This window comes from Homo sapiens, chromosome 3 (genome assembly GCF_000001405.40).
Source record: "Homo sapiens chromosome 3, GRCh38.p14 Primary Assembly".
Lineage (NCBI taxonomy): Eukaryota > Metazoa > Chordata > Mammalia > Primates > Hominidae > Homo > Homo sapiens.
In genome coordinates this window covers 21,953,789-21,980,139 of record NC_000003.12, presented here as the reverse complement: position 1 = coordinate 21,980,139, position 26,351 = coordinate 21,953,789, and the positions used below count along the sequence as shown (strand labels likewise).

The 26,351-nt window shown below is 36.1% G+C and overlaps 1 protein-coding gene and 1 long non-coding RNA gene across 9 annotated transcripts in view, besides 2 other annotated features; one reads left to right on the top strand and one right to left on the bottom strand.

Moving 5' to 3' along the window:
- ZNF385D (zinc finger protein 385D) overlaps positions 1–26,351 on the top strand; it is a 960,546-nt gene that overhangs the window by 392,624 nt on the left and 541,571 nt on the right. The window lies entirely within an intron of this gene.
- ZNF385D-AS2 (ZNF385D antisense RNA 2) lies at positions 312–23,001 on the bottom strand. Its single transcript, NR_046876.1, has 4 exons — positions 22,948–23,001; positions 21,217–21,308; positions 1,849–1,925; positions 312–509 (listed from the first exon to the last, which is right to left on the bottom strand). It is a non-coding gene; the product is annotated as a ZNF385D antisense RNA 2 (long non-coding RNA).
- Positions 9,252–9,421: an enhancer, noted in NCBI's record as "experimental_68192 CRE fragment used in MPRA reporter constructs". NCBI's record gives its function as "activates a minimal promoter by MPRAs in K562 erythroleukemia cells, with activity observed for both the introgressed and non-introgressed 3:22012296 or rs13086764 variant alleles {active_cell/tissue: K562}" and the evidence as "EXISTENCE:reporter gene assay evidence [ECO:0000049][PMID:34662402]".
- Position 9,336: a transcriptional cis regulatory region, noted in NCBI's record as "Neanderthal adaptively introgressed variant 3:22012296 (GRCh37/hg19 assembly coordinates) or rs13086764 in the experimental_68192 CRE". NCBI's record gives its function as "modulates activity of the experimental_68192 enhancer by MPRAs in K562 erythroleukemia cells {active_cell/tissue: K562}" and the evidence as "EXISTENCE:reporter gene assay evidence [ECO:0000049][PMID:34662402]".

The following is a 26,351-nucleotide window of genomic DNA, read 5'->3' as shown; positions in this document are numbered from 1 at the left end:
AAGAGCCTCTCTATAAGGCTGCTTTAATAACCCCACAATATAGCTAGCTTAACCTAGAAAAGGATCAAAGAAGTAAAAAGGAAGTCCACCATCTTGCTCAGATATCACAATGCCTTTTATGGCCTAGTCTTGAAAGTCAGGCAGCATCACTCCTACCATATTTTGAAATGAGTCACTGAGTCCAGCCCATAAGTAAGAAGAGGCAGAATTAGGTTACACCTTTTGAAGAGAGGAGTATCAAGGAATTTTAAGGCCACCACAACAGCAATAGTTACTCTCTATGCAAACATACGTGACTAATGCTCATACAATGTTTTGAAACACAAGTTCATTTGGTGAAGGCAAGACCCATATTTTTCCATCCTGGTGCTTTCTTTCTCTACTTATCTCCTCTTCATCTTCCAATCTTTCTGCAAAGACCTCATTCTTCTCTCTTTCTTTTTTCAGCATCTCTGCTGAGATACAATATCTGAAAAGTAGTCGTCTTTATTATTTGCCGTTTCAAGCACCTATGAGACAAACATACTTGAACCTTGTAAGAAAGTAAATGTTTAATGAAGTGAGGCAGGAGTTTTATTCCAGCTCTATTTATATGAAACTGTAAATCCACATATTTTGTAAAAAACTAGCCCCACAATTTGTTAGAGGAAAACTTACTTATTGTGAGCCAGCGTAACTGAGTTGTGGTTTCAGCTTAGTGGCTAACTAGCTGTCAAATATTGGATAAAAAGCTCAATCTCACACCTCAGTTTTTCTTATGTCTACAATGAGGTTACCTGTAAGGTTTTGTTTAATGAAAAAATAGTATATGGTTATGATTAATAGTGACATGTGGGGTTAAATATACATAATATAATAGCACAGAATTTTGTGGGTTTTTTTCCCCCTTCTGTTTGGTGCAGTTATACAGGGCAATAACAAAATACCCCATGGTCCCCCATATCCTCCTTTTTACAAATGTTTGGACCCAGCCCAGACTATTCTACAGGCAAATGATTTATTAACTGTGTATCATTTGGTCAGGGTCACCATTGAAAAAAAATTGGCATGTACTGGAGATAGTCACAACTATTTTCTATTGTGCTAAGTGTCACCTGTCCATTGAGCAGGCTTTTGGAGCTGGTGAGCCTGAATTTTGGAAGCTGCATACTGAGCAAATAAGCTTTCAAATTTAAATTTCCAATTTTAGATATTAATATGAAGAAAATATGTTTTGTTTTTTCACATATTTTACTTTTCTTGGGAAAAGTAAATTTTTTTTAAGTTGAATATTTGTGAATATTTTTATACAGTCAAGGTCACTAATGCAGGAAACATTTGTCATAATGCTGAGCACCTAAACATGCCTTTCACATGCCATCTAGCCTTGCTCCCCGAGAAGACTTTTCAAGGTGTTAATTTGCCAATTTGCTTAAATATGTAAATTTGATTAAATTTACAATGAGCTATCTAGAGACATAGACATAATAGAAATGTCTTGTACTCATAAAAGAGTAATTGAATAAGAACACATATGGAAATTTTTACTAATATCAGGCCTAGTCTGGAGACAAAAGCAAAATCTGATTACAAACGTATGTCTCAGATCACAGACAAACTTCTAAGCTCTGAGACAATTTAGCAATAACTTAAGTCACACCAGAACACCCACATCCTAATCTACTTTTGCCAGTGATGGCATAGTTCCTGGGTTATGTTTCTCCCCCTTTAAAGCAAAAATAAATAAATTAAAAAGCAAAGGCAAAACACGTAGCATATCTAATATTCCACAATATTGGCCTTAATTTAAATCCTAGGTTTAGATCATACCAGTAACAGATAGACAGCAAACATTGATTTAGTACTTACTTTTTAACAAGTGCCTGATTGGTGAATGTACATTTGCAACAAAGTAAGAAACAGACACTGCTCTCAAGAAGCTGAATCTAGAATTAAGAGATTGCAGTAAAGAGCAATAAAGCAGCATAAAAGGTTTCAAAGACATCCTACCTCTGGAGATGATTAATAAAAACACAAAACAGAACAGGGTAAAAGTAGTTTAAGTATTTCTCTATCTGGAAGAGAAGACTGGTCTGATATATTGTTTATTTATGAATTCTTTAGTAGTGTCACTATTAATATCTGGTGTATCTAGTTCTTTCCTTTGGCTATACCAACTACCTCCAGGTCTGCTGAACAAAAAGCAGAGGAGAGAATTGGTGGGGCAGTGTGCTTGCCCTTAAACAGCCTGCATTCTACTCGTTTCTCCAAAGATGTACAGAGCTATTGAATCATCTTTTTTGTTTGTTTGTTTTCCTTTTTTTAGAGACAGGGTTTTGCTCTGTTGCCCAGGCTAGAGTACAGTGGTGTGATCATGGCCCACCGTAACCTCCAATTGCTGGGCTCAAGCGATCCTCTTGCTTCAGCCTCCCGAGTAGCTGGGACCATAGACAGCCCCACCATGCCAGCTAATTTGTTATTATGATTATTTTTATATATATATTTTTAGAGATGGCGTTTTCATGTGTTACCCAGGATCATCTCTAGCTCCTGTCCTCAAGCACTCTTCCCACTATGGCCTCCAAAATAGCTGGGATTTCAGTCATCAGCCACCACACCAGGCCCTGAGTAGTCTTTTAGGTAGACCTGCAAACACAGTTCCCACCCTATCTTTATTACTGTTTTTCATCTTTGAACTTCTCTCCCTTGATTAATTCTTTGTGTTCCTTGAAAGCCAAATACAACCAATATTCAGAGGGAGTTTATTAGCTGTGGAACCCCCTAGACAACCACCACCATACTCAAGCTTTAATTAAAAACAAATTTTTTTTTGTTAATTGAAATGTAGTATGTATATACAAAAGCACACAAACACAAATCATAAGTGTACAGTTCAATGGATTTCCACAAAGTAAACATATCTGTGTGACTACCATTAAGTCAAATAATAGAATATTACCAACACCCCTAGCAGCCCCACAGTGCTGTCCCTTGGAAATCAATCTTCCTCTAATTAGAGTCATAGATTAGTTCCACCTAATACTGAGTTTTATTTAAATGGCATCATGCAACACGTACTCTTTTGTACCTGGTTTGTTTTGTACAATACCATGTTTGATTCATCAATGTTGTTATATGTAGCAGTGGTTTATTATTATTATTATTATTTTCCTGAGATGGAGTCTTGCTCTGTGGCCCAGGCTGACGTGCAGTGGCACAATCTGGGCTCACTGCAACCTCCGCCTCCCAGGTTCAAACAATTCTCCTTCCTCAGCCTCCCAAGTAGCTGGGATTACAGGCATGCAACACAACTGGCTAATTTTTGTATTTTTAGCAGAGATGGGGTTTCACCATGTTGGCCAGGATGTTCTCGAACTCCTGACCTCATGATCTGCATGCCTTGGCTTCCCAAAGTGCTGAGATTACAAGCGTGAGACACCTGCCCAGCTGGTTTATTATTTCTCAGTGCAAAATAATTTTCCATTTTATGGATGTACCAAAATATATTTACCAATTCTGGAGTTAATGGACAGTTTGGGGCTGTTATAAATAACACAACCATAGGCAATGTAGTACATGTTTTTGGTGATTATCTGTTACATATGTCTCCTGTACTCTTCTGTGTATTTCCTGTTATAGTCTAGATATTTTCTTTTGATCTATCTTCCAGATCATTTATCTTCAGCTGCGTCCCTCTATCATGCTATCAATTTTAGTTATTGTATTTTTTCAATTCAAAATTCTCCATGTGATCATCCTCTTATCATTCTCCACTTGGTCATTTATTTATTTGAAGATACTAATCAAAACTATTTTATATTTGTTTTCTTATTACTGTAGTATTTGTGTCACATGTAGATATGTTTCTGTTGTCTATTTTTTCTTCTGGTCCTATTACTTAATATCTCTAAAAAAAATGTGTTGTCATTACCAGTCTTCTGAATGAGAAATTTTAGTGATAATTTAACCTATCCTCTGGCAGGCCAAGAAGAGGTATATCACTCAAATCTGATCAGATCTTGAAATAACTTTGGCTAGTCTGCAGCTTCAGTAAGGTTCAGGATCCCTCTAGTTTTCCCCATATACATGGTGCATCCCTCAAGGTGTCCCAGTTAGAGCCTGAGTGTTTGCTAGGGCCATTCTTCTTTGAAGGCTCTGAAGTAGAAGTCTGGTCTCCCTAGAACTGTGGAAATGCTGAAAACTTCATATTACCCTTCAAGTATGTTTGGCTTTTTTCAACACACTTGATGCTTGGCTCGTTTGCATCTTGTCCTGTGTAGTTAATCAGATGACTCAATGGAAGAACAGGTATTGATTGCCAATCTCACTTAATTTTTTTTTTATTTTCATGGGTACATAGTAGTTACATAGTAGATATATATTTTTGTGGATACCATAGTGTGTGTATATATATATATATATATATATATATATATATATATATATATATATATATATTTCGTGGGTACATAATAGGTATATATTTTTGTGGGTTCATAGAGGGCACATGAGGTATTTTGATAAAAGTATACAATGTGTAAAAATCACATCAAAGTAAATGGGGTATCCATTCCCTCAAACATTTATCCTTTCTTTGTGTTACAACCAAATTATATGCTTTTAGTTATTTTAAAGTGTACAATAAATCGTTATTGAGTGTAGTCACCTTGTTGTGCTATCAAATACTAGGTCTTATTCATTCTATCTAACCATATATTTGAACCCATTAATTATTCCCATCCTCACTACCCTTCCAACCTCTGGTAACCACGATTTTACTCTCTCTCTCCATGAGTTGCATTGTTTTAATTTTTAGCTCCCACCAATAAGTGAGAACATAGGAAGTTTGTCTTGCTGTGCCTGGCTTATTTCATTTAACATATCTTCCAGTTCCATCCATGTTCTTGTAAATGACAGGATATTATATTTATGGCTGAATAGTACTCCATTGTGTATATGTACATTTTCCTTATCAATTTGTCTGTTGACAGACACTTAGGTTGCTTCCAAATCTTGGCAGAGCAGTGCTGCCACAAACTGTGGAAGTGCAGATATCTCTTCAATATACTGATTTTCTCTCTTTTGGGTACATACCTAGCAGTGGTATTGCTGAATTGTATGGCAGTTCTATTTTTAGTGTTTTTGAGGAACTGCCAAACTGTTCTTTATAGTGGTTGTACTAATTTCATTTCCACTAACAGTGTTCGAGGGTTCCCGTTTTTCCTCTTCCTTGCCAGCATTTGCTATTGTCTGTCTTTTGGACAAAACCCTTTTAACTGGGATAAGATGATATCTCAGTGTAGGTGGGATTTGCATTTCTCTGATGATCAGTGATGTTGTGCACACTTTTATATCCTTGTTTGCCATTTGCGTGCCTTCTTTTGAGAAACGTCTACTTAGATCTTTTGCCATTTTAAATTGGATTGGTTTTTTTTCTTATTGAGTTGTCTGAGCTCCTTATATATTCTGGTTAGTAATCCCTTATCAGATAGATAGCTTGAAAATATTTACTTCCATTCTGTGGGTTGTTTCTTCAATTTGTTGATTGTATCCTTTACTGTGCAGGAGCTGTTTACTTGATGTGAACCCATTTGTCCATTTTTGCTTTGGTTGCTTGTGCTTGTAGAGTATTACTCAGGAAATCTTTGCCCAGACCAATGCCCTAGAGAGTTTTTCCAATTTTTTCCTAGTAGTTTCTTAGCTTAAGATCTTAGATTTAAGTGTTTAATCCATTTTGGTATGATTTTTGTATTTGGTGAGAGGTGGGGGTCTAGTTTTATTCTTTTGTATATGCATATCTAGTTTTCCCAGCACCACTTATTGAAGATATTGTCCTTTCCCCATTGTGTGTTCTTGGTACCTTTGTTGAAAATAAGTTCACTGTAGATGTATGGATTTATTTCTGGGTTCTCTATTCTGTTCCACTGGTCTATATGTCTGTTTATATGCCAGTACCATACTGTTTTCCTTACATTATCTCTGTCGCATAATTTGGAGTCAGGTAATGTGATTCCTCAAGTTTTGTTCAAATTTTTGCTCAGGATAGCTTTGTCTATTCTGGGACTTTTGTGGTTCCATATACATTTTAGGATTATGTTTTCTATTTCTGTGAAGAATGTTATTGGTATTTTGATAGGCATTTATTGAATATATAGATTGCTTTGAGCAATATATACATTTTTAAAAATATATATTCTACCAATCTGTGAACATAGAATACCTTTTCATTTTTTTGACCTCTTCAATTTCTTACATCAATATTTTATAGTTTTCATTGTAGAGATCTTTCACCTTTTTTGTTTTATTCCCAGATATTTAATTTTAATTGTAGCTATCATAAATGAGATTAGTTTTTTGATATGTTTTTCAGATAGTTTGGTGTTGTCATATAGAAATGGTACTGATTTTTGCATGTTGATATTGTATCCTGCAACTTTACTGAATTTGTTTATCAGTTCTAGTGGTTTTCTGTCAGAGTCTTTAGGTTTTTCCAAATATAAAATCATATCATCTGCAAACAAGGATAATTTTACTTCTTTCCTTTTCCTTTCCAATTTAGATGGCCTTTATTTCTTTCTCTTCTCCTATTGGTCTAGCTAGTACTTCCAGTACTATGTTGAATAACAGTGGTGAAAGTGGGCATCCTTGTCTCATCCCAGATCTTAGAGGAAAAGCTGTCAGTTTTTCCCTGTTCAATATGATACTAGCGGTGAGTCTGTCATATATGACTTTTATTATGTTGAGGTATGTTCCTTTCATATCCAGGTTTTTCAGAGTTTTTTATTATGAAGGAATGTTAAAATGTAGCAAATGCTTTTTTACCATCAAGTGAAATTATCATATGGTTGTTGTCCTTCATTCTACTGATATAAGATATCACATTGATTGACTTCTGTATGTTGAACCATTCTTGCATCCCTGGAAAAAAGTCCAACTTGGTCATGATGAATGATTTTTTTAATGTATTGTTGAATTTGGTCGTTTGGTATTTTGTTGAGGAAATTCGCGTCAGTGTTCATCGGGGATATTGACCTGTTACTTTCTTTTTTCTTTGAGGTGTTTTCTGGTTTTATTATCAGTGTAATCCTGATCTCATAGAATGAGTTTGGAAGTATTCCCTCTCCCCTTTTCAGAATAGTTTGATTAAAATTGATATTAGTTCTTTTTCAAAACTTTGGTAAAATTCAGCAATGAAGCCGCTGGGTCCTAGTATTTTCTTTGCTGGGAGACTTTCTTATTATGGCTTCGATCACATTACTTGTTATTCATCGATTCAGGTTTTGGATTTCTTCACGGTTCAATCTTAGTAGATTGTGTGTCTAGGAATTTATTCTTTTACGTTTTCCAATTTATTGGCATATAGTTGCTCAGAGTAGCCTCTAGTCATCCTTTGAATTTCTGTGGTATTAGTTGTAATGTCCCTTTTTCATCTCTAACATTGTTTATTTAGGTCTTTTTTGTTTTTTTCTTAGTCTAGTTAAAGCTTATCAACTTTCTTTATAATTTCAAAAAAACAACTTTTCATTTTGTTCATCTTTTATATTGTTTTAACCTTTCAATTTCATTTATTTCTGCTCCGAAGTTCATTATTCCTATTCTTGTAACTTGTGGTTTGATTTGTTCTTGATCTTCTACTTCTCTAAAATACACCAATAGGTTGTTTATTTGAAGTTTTAACACTTTTTTTATATAGGCACTTATGGCTATAAACTTTCCTCTTAGTACTGCTTTTGCTGTGTCCCGTAAGTTTTTGTATGTTGTATTTCCATTTTTATTTGCTTCAAGAACTTGTTACATTTTCTTCTTAATTTCTTCATTGACCCACTGGTCATTCAGGACCATATTGTTTAATTTCCATGTATTTGTTTACTTTCCAAATGATTTCTAGTTTTATTCCATTGTGGTCAAAGAAGATACTTGATACAATTTCTTCTTTTGAAATTTTTAAGACTTTTTGTCCTATTATATGGTCTATCCTTGAGAATGATTCATATGCTGAGAAAAAGAATGTATATTCTGCAGCCATTGGCTGAAAATAATAAATATATATTGGGTCCATTTGTTCTTAGTGCATATCAAGTTCAATTTTTCTTTGTTGATTTTCTGTCTAAATGATTTTTCCGCTGCTGAAAATGGATGTTGAAGTCTCCAACTATTATTGTGTTGGGATCTACCTCTCTTGATAACTCTGATAATATGTGCTTTATATATCTGGGTGTCCCAGTGTTGGGTGCATATATATTTACAGTTGTTATATCTCCTTATTCATCCCTTTATCATTACATATAGTGACCTTCTTTGTCTCATAGTTTTTGTTTTTAAATCTATTTTGTCTAATATAAGGATAGCCACTCCTGCTCTTTTTTGGCTTTCAGTGGCACGAAATATCTTTTTTCATCCCTTTATTTTCAGTTTATATGTATCTTTATAGGTGAAATGTGTTTCTTGTAGGCATCAGGTCACTGGGTCTTTTTTTTTTTATTCATTCAGCTAGTCTATGTCTTTTGATTTGAGAGTTTAGTCTGTTTACATTAAATGCTATTATTGATGAGTAAGGACTTACTCTTGCCATTTTTTCATTTTTTTGGCCATCTCTTCCTTCTTTCCTTCTTGTCTTCCTTTTAGTGAAGGTGATTTTCACTAGTGGTATATTTTCATCTTTTACTTTTTATTTTTGTGTATCCATTATTTTTTTTGATTTGAGATTACCATGAAACTTGCAGGTAATATCTTATAACCCATGATTTTAAACTGATGACAACTTAACCTTTATTGCATAAACAAACAAAAAACAAGCAAGTAAATTGAAAACTAATAAAAATTCTGCACTTTAACATCATCATCCTGTTTTCTAACTTTTTGTTTTTTCCATTTATTTATTATGCTATGTCTTAAGTTGTTGTAGTTATTATTTTTGCTAGGTTCATCTTTTAGTCTTTCTATTCTGGGTATGAGTAGTTTATACACCATAATTACAGTGTTTGTTATAATATTGTGTTTTTTCTATGTACTTACCATTACCAGTGAGTTTTGTACCTTCAGATGATTTCCTATTACTCATTAATGTCTTTTTCTTTCAAATTGAAGAGCTCCCTTTAGTATTTCTTGTAGGACAGGTCTCGTGTTGATAAAATCCCTCAGCTTTTGATTGTCTGGAAAACTATTTCTTTCTCCTTTGTTTGAAGAACATTTTTACTGGATATAGTACTCTAAGATGAAAGTTTTTTTTTTCTTTTGCACTTTAAATATGCCCTGCCACTCTCTCCTGGCCTGTAAAGTTTTCACTGGAAATTCTGCTGCCAGACTTATTGAAGCTCCATTGCATGTTATTTGTTTCTTTTCTCTTCTTCCTTGTGGGATCCTTTCTTTATGTTTGTCTTTAGGAGTTTGATTATCAAATGCCTTCAGGCAGTCTTCCTTGGGTTAAATCTTCTTGGTGTTCTATAAACTTCTTGTACTTAGATATTGATGTTTTTCTCTAGGTTTGGAAAGTTCTCTATTATTATGTTTTTGAATAATCTTTCTACCTCAATTTCTCTCTCTCTCTCTCTCTACTCTTTAAGGCCAATAACTCCTAGATTTGGCCCTTTGAGGCTGTTTTCTAGGTTTTCCAAGCATGCTTCATTCTTTTTCATTCTTTTTTCTTTTGTGTCTTTTTACTGTTTATTTTCAAAAAGCCTGTATTCAAGCTCACTATTTATTTCTTTTGCTTGATCAATTCTGCTGTTAAGAGACCCTAATGCATTTTACAGTATGTCAACTGCATTTTCTGCTTGATTATTTTAAATTATTTTAATCTATTTTTTAAGTTTATCTAATAGGATTCTGAATTCCTTCTCTGAATTATCTTAAATTTCTTTGAGTTTCCTCAAAACAGCTATTTTGAATTATTAGTCACATATCTCTGTGTCTCTGGGTTTGGTCACTCATGCCTATTTAGTTCATTTGGTGAAGTCACGTTTTCCTGGATGGTTTTAATGCTTGTCAGTGTTATTGGTGTCAGAGTATTGAAGAATTATATATTTATTCTTACCTTCATAGTTCAGCTTGTTTGTACCTGTCCTTCTTGGGAAGCATTTCCAAGTATTCAGATGGTCTTGGGTGCTGTAATGTAAATCTTTCATCACCGCAGCTATATCTGCCTTAGGGGACACCCAAGCTCAATAACACAGTAACTCTTGCAGACTTATAGAGATACTGGATTGGAGGTCTTGGGTAAAATCTGGAAGAGTTCTCTGGAATACCAGGCAGAGACTCTTGTTCTGCTCCCTTACTATCACCCAAACAAATGGAGTTTCTATCCCTTTCTGAGCTGTCTGGAGCTGAGATAGGGTGACACAGGCACCCCTGAAGCCACCCACCACCACTGGAACTATGCTGAGTCAGACCCAAAGCCAGCATAGCAGTGAGTCCTGCCCAAGGCCTATGGTGACTACTGCCTGGCTACTGCCCGTGTTCACTTAAAGCCCAAGGACCCTACAATAAGCAGATGGTGAATCCAGCCAGCTTCGTTTCCTTCTCGTCAGGATGATGAGTTACCCTGGCACCAGGCCATTCCAAAGATGTCATCCAGGACCAGGGCCTGGAGTCAAGCACCGCGGGTATTAATTAGTCCGTTTACCTAATGCTATAAAGAACTGCTCAAGACTGGGTAATTTATAAAAGAAAGAGATTTAATTGACTCACAGCTCAGCATGGCTGAAGACAAAGAGAAAGCTAGGACCTCCTTCTCAAGGTGTCAGGAAGGAAAAGTGCCGAGCAAAGAGGGATGAGCCCCTTATAAAACCATCAGATCTTGTGAGAACTCCCTACCATGAGCACAGAATGGGGGAAACTGCCCCCATGACTCAATTACCTCCACCTGGTCTTTCCCTTAACACGTGGGGATTATGCAAGTCAAGATGAGATTTGAGTGGGGGCACAAAGCCTAAACATATCAGGTATCTACCTGGTGCTTCATTCTACTGTGGCTGAGCTGCCACCCAAGTCACACAAAAAAGTTCTTACCATTCTTTCCTCCCCATTTTACAAGCAGAGGAGTCTCTCCCTATGACCACCACTACCACAGGTCCGTGGAGATTACTGCTGGCTGTTATTAATGTTCACTCAAGACCCAAGGGCTCTTCAGTCAGCTGTTGGTAAAAGCTGCCAGATCTGTGTCTCTCAGGAGAATGGGTTCTCCTCTGGCCCAAGCCAAGTCCAGCAATATCATCCAGCAGCTTGGCCAGGAATCAGAGACCCCAGTAAACACTTGGTACTCCACACCACTGTGGCCCAGCTGGTATCCAAGCTGTGAGGCAAAGTCCTCTTTACTTTTTTTCTCCTTTCCTTAAGCAAAAGGAGTCTCTCCCTTTAGCTAACATAGCTTGGAATGTGCTGGGTCACACCTAAAGCAAGCATAGCTCTGAGTTTCACCCAAGGTCCACGGCAAGTACTGCCTGGCTACCATTGCTGATTATTTAGGGCCCAAGAGCTCTCTAGTCAGTAGGTGATGAATGCTGCTAAGACTTGGCCCTTTGCTTCAAGACAGTGGGTTCCTTTCTGGCCCAGGGTGTGTCTAGAAATAAAGTATGACAGCTAGGGCCTGAAACGGGTATTCAAGATGCAAGACAAAGTCCTCTTTACTCTCTCCTCTCCTCTCCTCAGACAGAAGGAATGAGGCTCTAGGACTTGAGAGCTCTTCTGCCTGGGGCTGGGGGAGGGATGACTCAAGCACTCCCTTGGCTTCCTAGGCTGATGTCTCACTAGGTCATGTGTACCTCAAGTCCACTGGCTCTGAACACAGCACAGCACCTGGACTTGCCTGGGAATTGGAGTCCTTGTGGCCTAGACTGCCGTTTAAGTTTATTTAGAACCCCAGAGCCCTTTAGCCCATGGTGGAGGGCTTGCCAAAACTCATATTCAGACTGCTGAGATGGTTAATTTTCCTCTGGCTACGGCTGGTCTAAATGCTCCCTCCGTGGTGGCATTGGCTGCGTTCCACCCGATGTTGCTTTCCGCTGTGACTGGGCAGCACTGAATTCCAATGTGAAGTCCCACAATCCCTTTCCTCTCTCTCCCTCAAGCACATGGATACTCTCTCTGCACCGTACACCCACAGCTGGGGTGTAAGGGAGGGGTGGTGTAAGCTATTCAAGACTTTCTTTCCTACCTACTTCAGTGTCTCTTTCCTTAAATGGTGTTAAAACTACCCACTTTAGTGTCTCTTTCCTTACATGATGTTAAGAACAGATACTGTGATTGCTCACCTGATTTTTAGTTCTTATGGTGGTGGTTTTTGTATGGATAGTCAATCAATTTGGTGCTCCTGTAGAGGGAATAATCACGGGAGGTTTCTGTTCAGCCATCTTACTCCAACTTCCTCCCAATCTCTTTTAGGAACCTCATTTGCCATTGGAATTTTGGTCACTCAAGTCCTAAATGCCTTGGCAGTTCAGAACTCTAATTGTTGTTTCCCCAGCCCTGTGCAAACACTGAAAGGTCTTCTGTGTGTTAGAAGTCTTAGGAGCCCCTCTAACTAGCTTAGTCATATCTTGGCATATGTCAAAAATCAGTAAATGACCTGAGGAAGAAGCCAATGGGCAGAAAATTTAGCTCCCCTCTATAAGCTTTCCTTCTCTCCAGGAACTGGCCCTTTAGGACCAGCTGTTTTAGCAGCTCTGTAGTGATTTGAGATCCATTGTTTAAAATTTCATCAAGATATTTAATTCTTAACAGGATTATTGTTCTGCCATAAAATAATCCAAAATAGCTGGAAGTAGAAGTTCCACGCTTGAATTTTGATTTATTCAATTTTTAAAATAAATGCTTAAGTGGCTTTAAGATAAAGCTGCTGCCAACATATAAGACAGTAAATTTTGGGGGAAAAAATTTTCTTAATTATCAAATTTTAAGAAATTTGACGAGAAAAGACCAGAAATTATTTACTTCCCCAGGACTGAAATAGATAAAAAGAGACTAAACAGTGCCAAAGCTAAAGAAATGCTTAAAGTAATGACCATTACATCACATCTAGATTATATATTTTACAATACCCACTTTTCACAAGTTAAAGGTAAACATTTTCTTTGTAGATCATACAATGTATGGAATTTTTCACTATTATTTGAATTAATAGTTTTTACTATACAGATTTTAATTTATGTGTGTTCTTTTAGAATTTTTTTCATATTTGTGTGCTGTAACACACACAAAACTCATAAATCCACGTGCATGTGCATGCACACTCATTCTAAAAAATTAGAAGTAAATCTGCTAGGCCAGGGGCTGTGGCTCAAGCCCATAATCGCAGCGCTATAATCCCTATAATCCTTCGGCCTCGGAGGCCAAGGTTGGCAGATCACTTGAGGCCAGGAGTTTGAGACCAGCCTGGCCAACATGGCAAAACTCCATCTCTACTAAAAATACAAAAATTAGCTGGGCGTGGTGGTGCGTGCCTGTAATCCCAGCTATTCCAGAGGCTGAGGCAGGAAAATCGATTGAACCCGGGAGGCAGAGATTGTAGTGAACCGAGATTGCACCACTGCACTCCAACCTGGGCTACAGAGTGTGACTGCGTCTCAAACAAACAAACAAACAAGAAGTAAACCTGCTAGTTGACACCAATAGGTTTACAATAGGTTTATAGGGACACAATTAATCAGGAAATGAATACAGTGAACAATTTCTGATTATAAAGCCTCTGCTGGATGTGATGAATCCAAACCAGTCCAAGAAATGTTAGGGTAATTAAAATGAAAGCCACAAATGCGTCTTTACCAGCCTAAAGTTTCTCTTTCAGGTATGGTAGGAAATGAAGGTGAAGTTAGTTCCTTAGCTTTAAAATGTCTACATGCTTTTTAAAATTTACTACCAGTTCAGTTTGTTTTCCAAACAAAATACAAGCTTTAAAAGCTGTGCTAGATGTTAGGGGATGTTTTTCAGCTCATTCAAGCCTGTAACATCATTCTACCTAAAGTCCTATACTATAAATTATTGGTTTCATCAAATCCATTGAGATAGAACTGCACTACTCAGTATGGAGAACCTACAAAAATGTCTCTGTATCTATTGCTGAAATTCAAAATAAGATTTGCAAAATTTACTCTAGAGAGACAAGGAGTAAAGATCTAGGAAAGAAGAAAATGAATACTTGTAAACTTTTCTACATTCCCTCAAAGTGTATTTTCATTTTCTATAATTTCAAACTTACAGAAAATTTACAAGAATAGTACAAAGAACTCTTATCTAGACTTTACCTGGATTCACTAATTATTTGCAGGTTTCCCATTTGCTTTATTGTTATCTCTTCTTCTTCCATTCCTTCCTCCCTTCTTTCTTCCATATTTTTGAGCTACTTAAGTGTTGTTGGAAATATTTTGCCCTTTTATCCCTAAATACTTCAGTGTGTCTTTTCTAAAAATAAGGATATCCTCTTACCACAGAAGTTATCAACATCAGGAAATTTAATGTTGATATAACATTGCCAAATCTGCAGTTTATATTTAAATTTGTCAGTTGTTCTGGTAATGTCCTTTTTAGTTATTTCTCCCATGTCCAGAATCCAATCTAGACTCATATACTGCATTTAGTTTTCATGTTGAGTCTTTTATTGTGAAACAATTCTTCAACCTTTCTTTATCTTTCTTGTTTGGACATCTGTGAAGAGTACAAGCCAGTTACTCTGAGGGATGTTCTTCAGTTTTTTTTCTGATATTAGATTTTTTAAAAGCATATTTTTACTTAGCTACTTACTGTACGCTCTGGCACGTTATGTCTAGGAAATGTATCTGTCTTGCTCATTTGTGTTTCCCCATCATTAGTACTGTGCCTGGGTACACAGTAAGTACTCAGTAATTGATTTTTGAGTAGACACATACCAATATGTGGCATTCATTTGATGCATATTATTTAATTTTTAATCCTTGCTACAACTTCAAATCTAATTATCCTTAAACCCATTTTGCAGATAAAGAAACTTAGGGTCAGAGTCTATTAATCACCAAAGTTACATAAGATATTAATTTGCAATTCTAAGCTCCAAAGCTGTCTCTTCATCATAGATCTCTTCTCTTCATACTGTGTTCAGTCTCTAAAATTTTTCAATCTTCCAGGCATTGTGCTTTCTGATTCTAGTGTCAACTTTAATATTAATTATGCTGCCAATTATTAAGATACAAATGTAACTGAATGGAATGATGTAAACCTAAGTGCTAACGTATTTTTATCTGCTAAATACATGAATATATGCATCTTCCTATGTTCAGTAGCTTCTGAGGATATTTCACAGTCTCATATCATTTGTCTACAAATATATTTATAATAAGAATAGAAATTATTACCTTTGAACATACAACAAAGAATTATGTTACTTCAAGATCTGTGAAATTAGGCTGGGCGCAGTGGCTCATGCCTATAATCCCAGCACTTTGGGAGGTCGAGGCAGGTGGATCACCTGAGGTCAGGAGTTCGAGACCAGCCTGGCCAACATGGTGAAACCCCATCTCTACTAAAAATACAAAAAAATTAGCAGGGCATGGTGGCAGGCACCTGTAAACCCAGTTACTCAGGAGGCGGAGGCAGGAGAATCGCTTGAACCTGGGAGGCAGAGGTTGCAGTGAGCCAAGATTGTGTCACTGCACACCAGCCTGGGCGACAGAGTGAGACTCCGTCTCAGAAAAAAAAAAAAAAAAAAAAAAAAAAAAAAAAAAATCTGAGAAATTGGACATCTTTTTCTTTTTTTTTTTTTCTTTTTTTTTTTTTTTTTTTTACAAAAAGGACCAACTGTAGAGCCAGTAGTTACAAAGATTCTCTGAAGCAAGTGCTATGGAAGAGCTCAGGGATTTTTCTTTCTTTTTTTTTCCATTTGTATTGTAAAAATATCTATAGTTTTTCACACATACAATGATGCCAATTTCAGTTTTTAGCGAATGAAGGAGACACAGAAGGAGAAATTTGTATCTCATATCTGAAATAGTTTAAACTTACCTTGATTTTTTTTATCCTGGCTAATGAAATTTTGTTCATTCTTTACTGAAGATTATAAAATGATTTGTGGGCCAGTTGTATTAGATTGAATTAGAAGGGTTAAGTAGGAAATGATGATAACCACCTTTTATTATATTCCAAAGCATTGTGCAGAATACTTTGCCCGCAATTAAATGAATATTTAATGTAATACTTAGTCGCTTTTGTACTAATGTCTTCATGACATTTTGTACCTATAATAATATCTAACATAAAATAACATTAATATTAGTAGCCATTCTAAAATTGCTCTGAGTTAGTTCTTGTATTTCTGCTCTGAATTTTTCTTTTTATTTTGATCAGTGTCATCACCAGGGCCATTATTTTAATTTACAAGTTGTTGCTTTTAATTTATATCTCTAGAATTCTGGGCATACATACATTTTTAATCACTGAGGAGAAGAAAAACATAAAGTTATTATTAGGTTATCACAATTACTTTTGCACCAATCTAATATAAAGAGGTCTGTAATATAAAGAGATGTCTTGTATATTCATTGTATTATAACTTAAAGGCGTATGAATGGAGAAACTGTCAACCACCAGCGGCAGGAAAGTATGAAACAACTTGTTCTTACAAGTGGAATTCGGTGTTTTGATTGGTCTCATTTTTCAGAATATAGATTGAGATCAGAAGTTTTATATATGGATTACTATGTTCAGAATCTTAGGCAATAAGGATGTTAATTTGGATAATGATAGAAGCAGTAAATAAAGTAAGATGCGAACTCTTTCCCCTCCCTATCCTTAACTACATTTCTGCACGCTACTGCGGTTCTACGTAGAGTTGATCACAATCTGAAAAAGTAGACTAAGTACTGTTCATCCTTCTCCTGGCCACTGCTTTAATCCTACCTCCGAACACACCCTCACATAGACCCAATGCTACCACAAGAATGAAAGATGACAGTGACCTACACAGGTGATAAACTTCTCCCACATGACTGCTGCCACAGAGTTATAAGTGGAACATCCGGTTTGCTTCAGCTTTAATATCCAGAAAAGAAAATGAGCATTTTATGTACAGGAAAATTGTATTAAATTTCTTGGGAAAGGGTCATTAAGGCCAGGTTGGGTTTTTGAACCAGGATAAAACTATTGAATAAAAGATACTGCTCCAAGCAAGGCTACTGTTTAACAAATATTTGCCCAGAGAATAATTTATAAAACACTAGTTGTCAGAGATAATCTTGGAGAAAGTGTTTGGTGTTTAAATATTTGGAAAATGTGTTATTACATGGTCGCCCTCACATATTAGAGTAATGGTGACTCCAAGATGTCTTGCAACATGAAAATCAATTTTAACTTTGTTTAATGAAACATTTCCCTAGTACATATTAATGTTCCCTCATCAGGAAACAACTTTAAAACCACAGAAAATATGAGAATGTATGCTAGGCAACGAAATTATAAGACAGAAAAAGAAAATCATCTGGTTCCAAAAAAATACCTTTCCACAGAGAATTGGACACCTCACCAGTTAATAGCACTGGCAAGAAGCCAGCATAAATATTGACCACATTTCCCTTCTGGGAGCTGAACTGCTGCATTCCATCTGAAAAAAATCAGTACTTCCATATTTTATGTTCTTAAAAAAGAAGGAAACTAATTCTCTCTACAAAGCTTTTAAAATGCAGACCAAACCTTTTTTGTGAACATAATGTGCTATTTCTAAGCTGCCTGCTTGACACCTCTGCTATGATGCCTTGCAGGCACCTCAAGGTTAACATTTCCAAAATTAAACTTCAGTGAACTTTTCTCCATAAGTATGCTCTCTGCAGAGATGTCTTTGCAGGGAGTGGTTCTGCCATCCCCTGTTGTTTCCATTGATAACCTAGAATTTACCTTCTACCCCTCTTTTTCCACACATACCATTTTCCCCTCACCTATTGATCTTACCTCTGAAATCTTCATTTCTCTACTTCTCTTTACATCCAGCACCAGGATTCTAGCCAAATACATAATCATCTCTTCCCAGCAATATCCTCTTAAACATTTTCTGTCTGGCTTTATGTTGCCTTCCTCTTATTGCCCATAATATGTTTTCTGCACTTTAATGAGATGGACCTTTGAAAGACACCCATATAACCAGGTAATACCCTTGCTTTACACTTTTTAGTGTCTTCTGTTGCTCTTAGGATTAAGGCTCACTTCCTTAATCTGGCCCACAAGACCCTGTGTGCTGTCCTGAAAACCCATGTCACTTCTTTTTGCGGTGACTTTTCTCCTTAATTCTTTTCCTTTTAGTCATAACAGTTTTCTTTCAATTTCTCATAAGCTCTATGGTCATTTTTATCTCAACTTCTGCAAATGTTCCTTCTTTCAGAGTTGCTCCCCATCCCATCCAGTGCACTCTCCCACTAAATGATGGATTTGTGTGTATTCTTCAGAACTAATGTCTCAAGAAATGCCTTTCCTGAATCCCTGGATCATGTTAGAATCCTATATGGATGCAATCCATTCACTTACAAAATATTAGGTAATCAGTTTTTCAACAATTGAAATGTAACAATCAATGAAATAATGTATGTAGCCCTACTTTAGACATTTTAATGTTCTATAAAAATAAAAGGCATTAAAATTAAAATGTGAAATAAATTTATTTATCACTATAGTTTGTTCTAAGGAAATTTTTCCTGCATGATTACAATTTATTTCATTGCAAATAGAACAATTCAATAGTTACTTCATATTTCTAATTAAACTGGCTTCTTTTTAAACAATTTTTTTGGCAAAATACCTGTTGACAATCAAAAAGAGAAAAGAATTAATTTAAAATTTTATTAAGTCGAATATTTTCCAAATGCCACATAAAATTGGCCAAATTGATGACAGGAAAGAAAATTCCTGTAAGTTTCTGTTCTTTCATTCATTTATTTAATATCCAAATACCAAGACCTTTTTTATATTCCAGGCATTCATTTAAAAATTATTTTCTTTTATTTTTTTAGTTGACATATTCTAATTGCACATACTTACGGCATACAGAGTGATATTTTTATACATGTATACAGTGTATAATACTCAAATCAGGATAATTAACACGTGTCTCCTCATTTATTATTTCTTTGTGTTATGAACATCAAAAATCTTCTCTTGTAGCTGTTTCAAAATGTACAATAAATTATAGTTAACCATATCAACCTATAGCACCACAGGTCAGCAGAAATCATCCCTCCCATCTAGCTGTAATTTTATATCTTTTAAACAACATCTTCCTATTCTCCTCTTCTCCATATCCTCTAATACCCACGATTCTACTCTGCTTCCAAGAGCTCAGTATTTTTTAGCTCCCACATGTGAGCGAGAACATACAGTATTTATTTCTGTGCCTGACTTATTTCACTTAATATGATATCCTTCAGGATGCTGTGAATGATAGGGTTTCATTCTTTTTATGGCTGGATAGTATTCCATTGTGTATATATATATCATATTTTCTTTATCCATTTATCTGTTGATTAATATTTAGGTTAACTCCATATCTTAGCGATTGTGAATAGTGCTGCAATAAACAAAGGAGTGTAGGTGTCCTTTTTATATACTGATTTCCTTTCCTTTGAATAAATAACCAGTAGTGGGATTGCTGGATCTTATGGTAGTTTTATTTTTAGTTTTTTGAGAAATCTCCACACTGTTTTCCCTAATGGCTGTCCTAATTACATTTCCACCAACAGTGTACAAGGGATCCGTTTTTTACTGCATCCACACCAGCATTTGCTATTTTTGTCTTTTTGGTAATAGCCATTCTAACTGGGGTGAGGTGATATTTCATTATAGTTTTGATTTGTATTTCCCCGATGATTAGTGGTATTGAGCATTTTTTTTTGGATATTTGTTGGCCATTTATTTGTATGTCTTCTTTTGAGAAATGTTTATTTAGATCCTCTGCCACTTTTTAACCAGATTATTTGTTCTGTGAGTGTCTGTGTTGGGGAGGGTGTGTGTGTGTATTGCTGTTTAGTTGTTGAGTTTCTTGTATATTCTGGATATTAGTCTCTTGTTGGATGTATAGAATGCAAATATTTTCTTCCCTTCTACAGATTTTTTTTCATCACTTTTTGATTGTATTCTTGGCTGTACAGAAGATTTTTGGCTTAAAATAGTCCATTTGTCTTTTTTTTTTTTTTTTTGGAGGCTGTGCTTTTGAAGTCTTAGCCATCAAATATTTGCCTACTCCAATGTTCTGAAAAATTTCCCCTATGTTTTCTTTTAGCAGTTTTATAGTTTTGAGTCTTATGTTTCAGTATTTAATCCATTTTGAGTTGAGTTTTGTTGCCAGACACTCTTCTAGAGGCTAGTGAGCCAGAACTGAGTTAGACAAAGAAAGCTTCTGCCTTTTGCAGATTTTCTCTTTCTAGGTCAGATTCTCTATTTTGCCTTGGAGTGAGGGGAGCAGTTAAATAAGTTACCTTCCTAGATCCTTCTTGTTTCAAGTATTTCAGACAGCCTCACAGGCCCAAGGTTCCTTTTCTGTGTACCCACCCATGGGGCTAGCCCCATCTTCCATGGTGACAGGAGACCATGGTGACTAGGCTCCTTGCATTGTGTCTGAACAACTTCTGAGTACATCTGAGTACAACTCCTGTGACTGGAGTTAGGGCAAGTACCTTACATGGTTCTTTCCAGCACTCTGAAAATATCAATTTGAAATGAATGTGTTGATTGCCTTCAATCTCAGCTGAAGGGGAAAGATAGAGATTGGATTTTTGACTGGTTCCTCACAAACACTATAGTATTTTACAGCTTTATAAATTATTTTCTCTTACCGTTTTGGCTGGACAAATGAAAAAAAAATATCCTGAAGGAGCAATTGCATTTCCTTAGCTGCATTCAGCATCTTCATTTGTTTTTATTTGCCAGTGCATTTTGCCTTATTATTTGAAGTGTGTTTTTCTTATCTGTTGTAGGCACTACACTTTATTCCTATTTGCTGATTTAAATAGATCTCTAACCAAGGAAAAGCACAAGATTCTCACATTGCTGTATACTAAATTTCTGGCCTGGAATTATATGTTATTTGTGATACTTTAAGTGCAATGACATTTATGTAACTGTATTATTAGTTGCAAAATAACTTTAAAAGTAACTTTATTAACTGCATGAAATAGAAACAACAAATACCAGAAACCTGTATTTTATGCTACAATCCCAGTAGATGTTATCTTGTAATATTGCATTATGAAATCTCAGGGCTTTAAAGAAAGAACATTAGGGTTTATATTTTCTCACCTGGCATAAAATGTAATACAATGTTTCATTTATCTTCAATGATTTCTTTTTCTTGAATTATTTGTAATGAAAAAATATACTTGTAGATGGATCTGTTAAGAGAGAAAAAATAATATCGTGAACATCCATGGTTTATATTTAGAAAATTCTCTGATTGCTATCCGCAAGCCATCACTCTACAGCTTAATATTTATTTGAATTTTTATTTCAATTGTGAAGCTTTCTGCAGTAATTTAGAAAAATAGGTTATGCAGTTATAATAGAATTTGGCGATAGAATCTAGTTCTACCCTGGGATTATATTACAGGTAAAATTGTTCATTTTCATTGACTTGGAACAATGGTTTTATCTTTTATTAGATATATAGCTTCTTGTCAGTTACAAATAAGAGTGATATCAACAAAATAAGAGCCCCTATTCATTAATCCCGTAACATGTTCCCAGCAAGGTGGCATTACATAAATATGTCTCACTTAGTTCTAATAGTGATCTTTTGGAGAAATATTATTATTTCCATTTTAAGGATGAATAACTGGATTTTGAGGTATGAAACTTACACAAATTCCTGTGACTGGAAAGCAATAAAGTATAAGCTCTGGCCTGACAGCAAAGCCCATGTTCCTGACCTCTATTGTCAATCTCCAGTGTCCCTAACTCCAAAATATAGGTCTTCTTAATGTGATCACCTCACAAAATGATTTTGCCCATTATTGGTGCACGCTGATATTCTTAGGTAGAAACGATAGAATATGATCTACAAGGCTTAGTTACATTAAATTTGAAAACAAATAAGGAGATAAAAAATTTCAGGGAGGATAAAGATTAGTCTGCATGTGCCCATTGCAGTGAATTGTAACAGTTTTATTAAAAGGGCAATGTGTGGGTGCATGTGTGGGGAACAACACTCGGGCACACTGGCGGTGATCTTGAGAAGCAGGGTGCTGATGTGAATACATTTGTTTCAAGTACTGTCTGTTTTTCTGAATGACAACATTAGTGGTACATTAGTACATTGATGAAACTAGTACATCTACTCCTGAGACATTGTATTTACTAGTAGATGAATGGTGGTGAAGGTTGGAGAGAGAACCTATGGGCTAAATAATAGAGAATTGAAGGAGAAAAAGTCAAAGCAAAATGTTGGGTAGGCAGACTAAATGCATTATCACCTTCTAAGCCATGAGGGAAAATCCATGTAGGAGAAAATGGGATGGAAATAAGGAGGAGATGGGGCAGATGGTTATGCTGGGAGGCAGAGAACTGGAGACAAAGCCTGCAGTGATTCCCCAACATAAGCAGAACACCAGTTCAAGCAATACCTTATGCATGTCCTCTGGGGTTTGGGTAGGCTTGTGCCATGTGAGTTTTGCTAAAACAAAACAAGAGTCACCTTTGCTCCAGTTCTCAACAAGTTCCTCATCGCCATCTGAGACCACCTCAGCCTGGACCTTATTGTTCATATTGCTATCAGGCTTTTAGTCAAAGCCATTCAACAAGTCTACAGAAAGTTCCAAACTTTCCCATATTTTCCTGTCTTTTTCTGAGCGCTCCAATCTGTTCCAACCTCTGCCTGTTACCCAGTTCCAAAGTAACTTCCACATTTATGGGTATCTTTTCAGCAATGCTCCACTCCCGGTACCAATTTACTATATTAGTTTGTTTTCACACTGCTGGTAAAGACATACTCAAGACTGGGCAATTTACAAAAGAAAGAAGTTTAATTGGACTTACAGTTCCACATGGCTGGGAAGTTCTCAGAATCATGGCTAGAGGTGAAAGGCTCTTCTTACATGGTAGCAGCAAGAGAAAATGAGGAAGAAGCAAAAGCAAAACTCTTGATAAACCCATCAGATCTCGTGAGACTTACTCACTATCATGAGAATAGCATGAGAAAGACTGGTCCCCATGATTCAATTATGCCCCCACACCCCCCAGGTCCCTCCCACAACACGTCGGAATTCTGGGAGATACAACTGAAGTTGACATTTTGGTGGGGACACAGCCAAACTATATCACCACAGATGATAAACTTGAAGGTAAGGTTAAATTGGATCACCTGATGGAGAGAGACTGTGGATCACAGGATAAATAATACAGATTGCCTTCTGCTTGAGGAATGCTTTTGTTGAAGGTCTTAGATTGGCCCCTGCAGTCATGCATCCATCTTTTTGAAACCAGGCTTATTACATGATTATTTTGAGAGATTATGTTTAGCCATAACACTTACTCCAATGACGAAAATCATTTATCACTTTTTACCATTGCATAAGTGTTCCTAAAGGCAGAGGATGCATTAACCACTGTGAACAAATTCCTCTGACATATAGATTGTTTTAAATATGTCACTCTGTTGGCCAGGAACTTCCAGTTATTGAAAAGCTAAGTATAATGCAAAGTATTTAGTTTTTCCAAGGTTACCTCTTAGTTGTCTCCCTTTTACATATTTACAATTAGATCACTGTAGAGTGTCAATCCTTTTTCTTCTTCTCCCACTCAAACTTTATCATTTTAAACATACCTTTATCTTCTCGTTATTACTATTATATTATAAAATATAATAAGTGTGAAAATTAGGAGGAATATCACATTTGTAAAGGAAGCCCCTATACAGCAGGTGGGGACAATGATCTGGTTCACCTCTAGGACTCTGGATAAATAAACTCAGGTTCTTTTTCTTTTTCATTTCATTTTCTTCTTTTCTTTCTTTCTTTCACTTTTTTTTGTTTGTTTGTTTCCTGAGACATAGTCTCACTCTCTCACCCAGTCTTCAATGCAGTGGTGTGATCACGGCTCACTGCAGCCTCTATCTCCTGGGCTCAAGCAGATCCTCTCACCTCAGCCTCTTGAGTACTGGGACTATGGGCATGTGCCACTAGACGTGGATAATTTTTTTTCTTTTTTAGAGAGACAGGTTCTCGCCATGTTTTCCAAGCTCGTTTCATATACCTGAGCTCAAGTGAACCACATGCCTGGGCCTCCCAAATTGCTGGGATTTCAGACCTGATCCATTATGCCTGGCCAATAAACTCAGGTTCTTACCTACTTGTGAAAAACCACAAAAATATTCCCTCCTTTGAATTATGAAAGAATGAATTATCTGTGTCACACCAGTAGTACTTAGCATGTGCCAGTATGGAATTGGCATACAGTAGACATTTAATAAATGATGAAGCTAACCCTCTTACCACCATAACTCAATGAGTTAATCGAAGATACTCAATTTTATAACATGTGGGTTAATTAAATGGTCAGGCTGAATCTATGCAGCAGGGTAAACAGAATTTGAGAACAGATTGCAAAATTTAGGTAAATTCAAGTTTTTGTTTGGTTTGGCACCGCAAGTAATGTTTCCTCACCCAGGCTTCAGTTTTAACAGAGATGATTCTGAATCCAGAATGATCTTTCTTAAGCTTCTGATTTCTTAAGATGCATCAGAAGCTTAAGAAATCACCTCCCTGTTTAGGTGATATTTATTGGCCAGAATTGGGGAGATGGATATGGAAGAACATTGGAGACAAGAGAACCCATCTTCTTCCTCCCTATTTTTGGGGGTGGAATTACCTGCATTTTCCATGTAGCTTTGTTTTTTCTTTCATGCCCTGTCCCCACTCCCTACAAGAAAGTAAGAACTTTAGTTTCCATCTCCTATATCACCTGCTTCCTCCAGCCATTTTAAGAACAGAGCCAGCAAGAAGGATAAGCAGTCAGTTGCCTATAGTGTTGCATCCACATTTATGTTACTGTACTGTGTTTTGTAGGAAGGAGAAATTTTATAAAGTTTTTTTCCTTTGTTTGATGAAATAACTTGTCATACCTTTTCACAATGATGCTCCATTTGTAGTAAACACAAAAACATCTGTTGGTAACGATAAAAAACCTTGACTTTTTACAATAAAAGTTAAAAGTCAGTCTTAAGCATTCCAGTGAACTCACAGGGGCATCACCAGATTTCTAAGTGTTTCGAAGGCTAGACAGCCTTGCAGGCTGCTTGCTTGGGGCTAGTCACAGTTTCAACATTAGATTGTGCTACATTCCTTTTCATTATGTCATATTTTTGTAAAGCTTCACTTTCAGTGGTTGCTGTGATATGATGCAAGTATAACACAAAAGTCAGTGAGGAAAGGGAAGTGAGGGTGGGGATGTCTAACATTATTCCAAAGTTTAGGAAATTGTTTTGAGTCCAACAGGAACATGGATTCCCTTAGTAAGTCACTGTGATAATTTAAAAATGAAATAGAAATAATGTTTTACCTTCAGTTAATATATATTAATGAATCATGTTGCCACTGAGTTGTTAGGATATAACTATTAAGGATATAAAAATTAAGTTGTTTACACCTAACTAATTAACAAACAGAACTCACATATTTCTTTTGGCCTAGGGGTCCCGTGTAAATATTACTAAGACACTAAAATTGCTGCAAAATGAGAAAGTTTAGAAACCTCCAGGTTGAGGAGTTATTCTAAGTGTTACTAAGGCTCCTTAGATCCTTGTGAGCCTATAAAATAATTAAAAACTCCCATCATGAGAATGTGTCAAAAACTCTAATTTTGAGAATATTGATCCCTATGTGTTTACTTGAAACAAAAGACATATTGGGGCAAGTTACTTAGAGACAAATTTCATCTGCTGTGGGTCAAACATCACCTAATATGTAAGTGTTAAAATGGAATATTCAGGCATTGAAGTTGTCATTGTTATAAGACCCTTGTTACAGCAAAGAAACTGAGGTACAGAGAGAATTATTAACACAGCAAAGCAATCAGAAGACGTGACTCAATATTGTGCTTTAGAGGACATATGTTGTATCTTATCTTCCAAATGGGGATGGAGGGCAGCACTTATGCTGTGATTAAATAAAATCTGACTTTTTACCTTAAAATAATTCAATTAGAAGTAATTTGAGTATCTTTTCCTTGTTTTTCTCTTTTGTCCAGCTTATATTTATCCACGATTTTATAAATCTGGCTCAGCAAAGCATGTTGGAAGGGATCTCATTTTAAACAATTCTGTTAGTGCTTTGCTGCAGGCTACATGTGCCTTCATTGTGTGTGTGTATACGTGAGTGAGTTTACTACCGTAATTAGAAATCACTTACTCTAATTTTTCTCTAATTTCCAAACACTACAGTGGT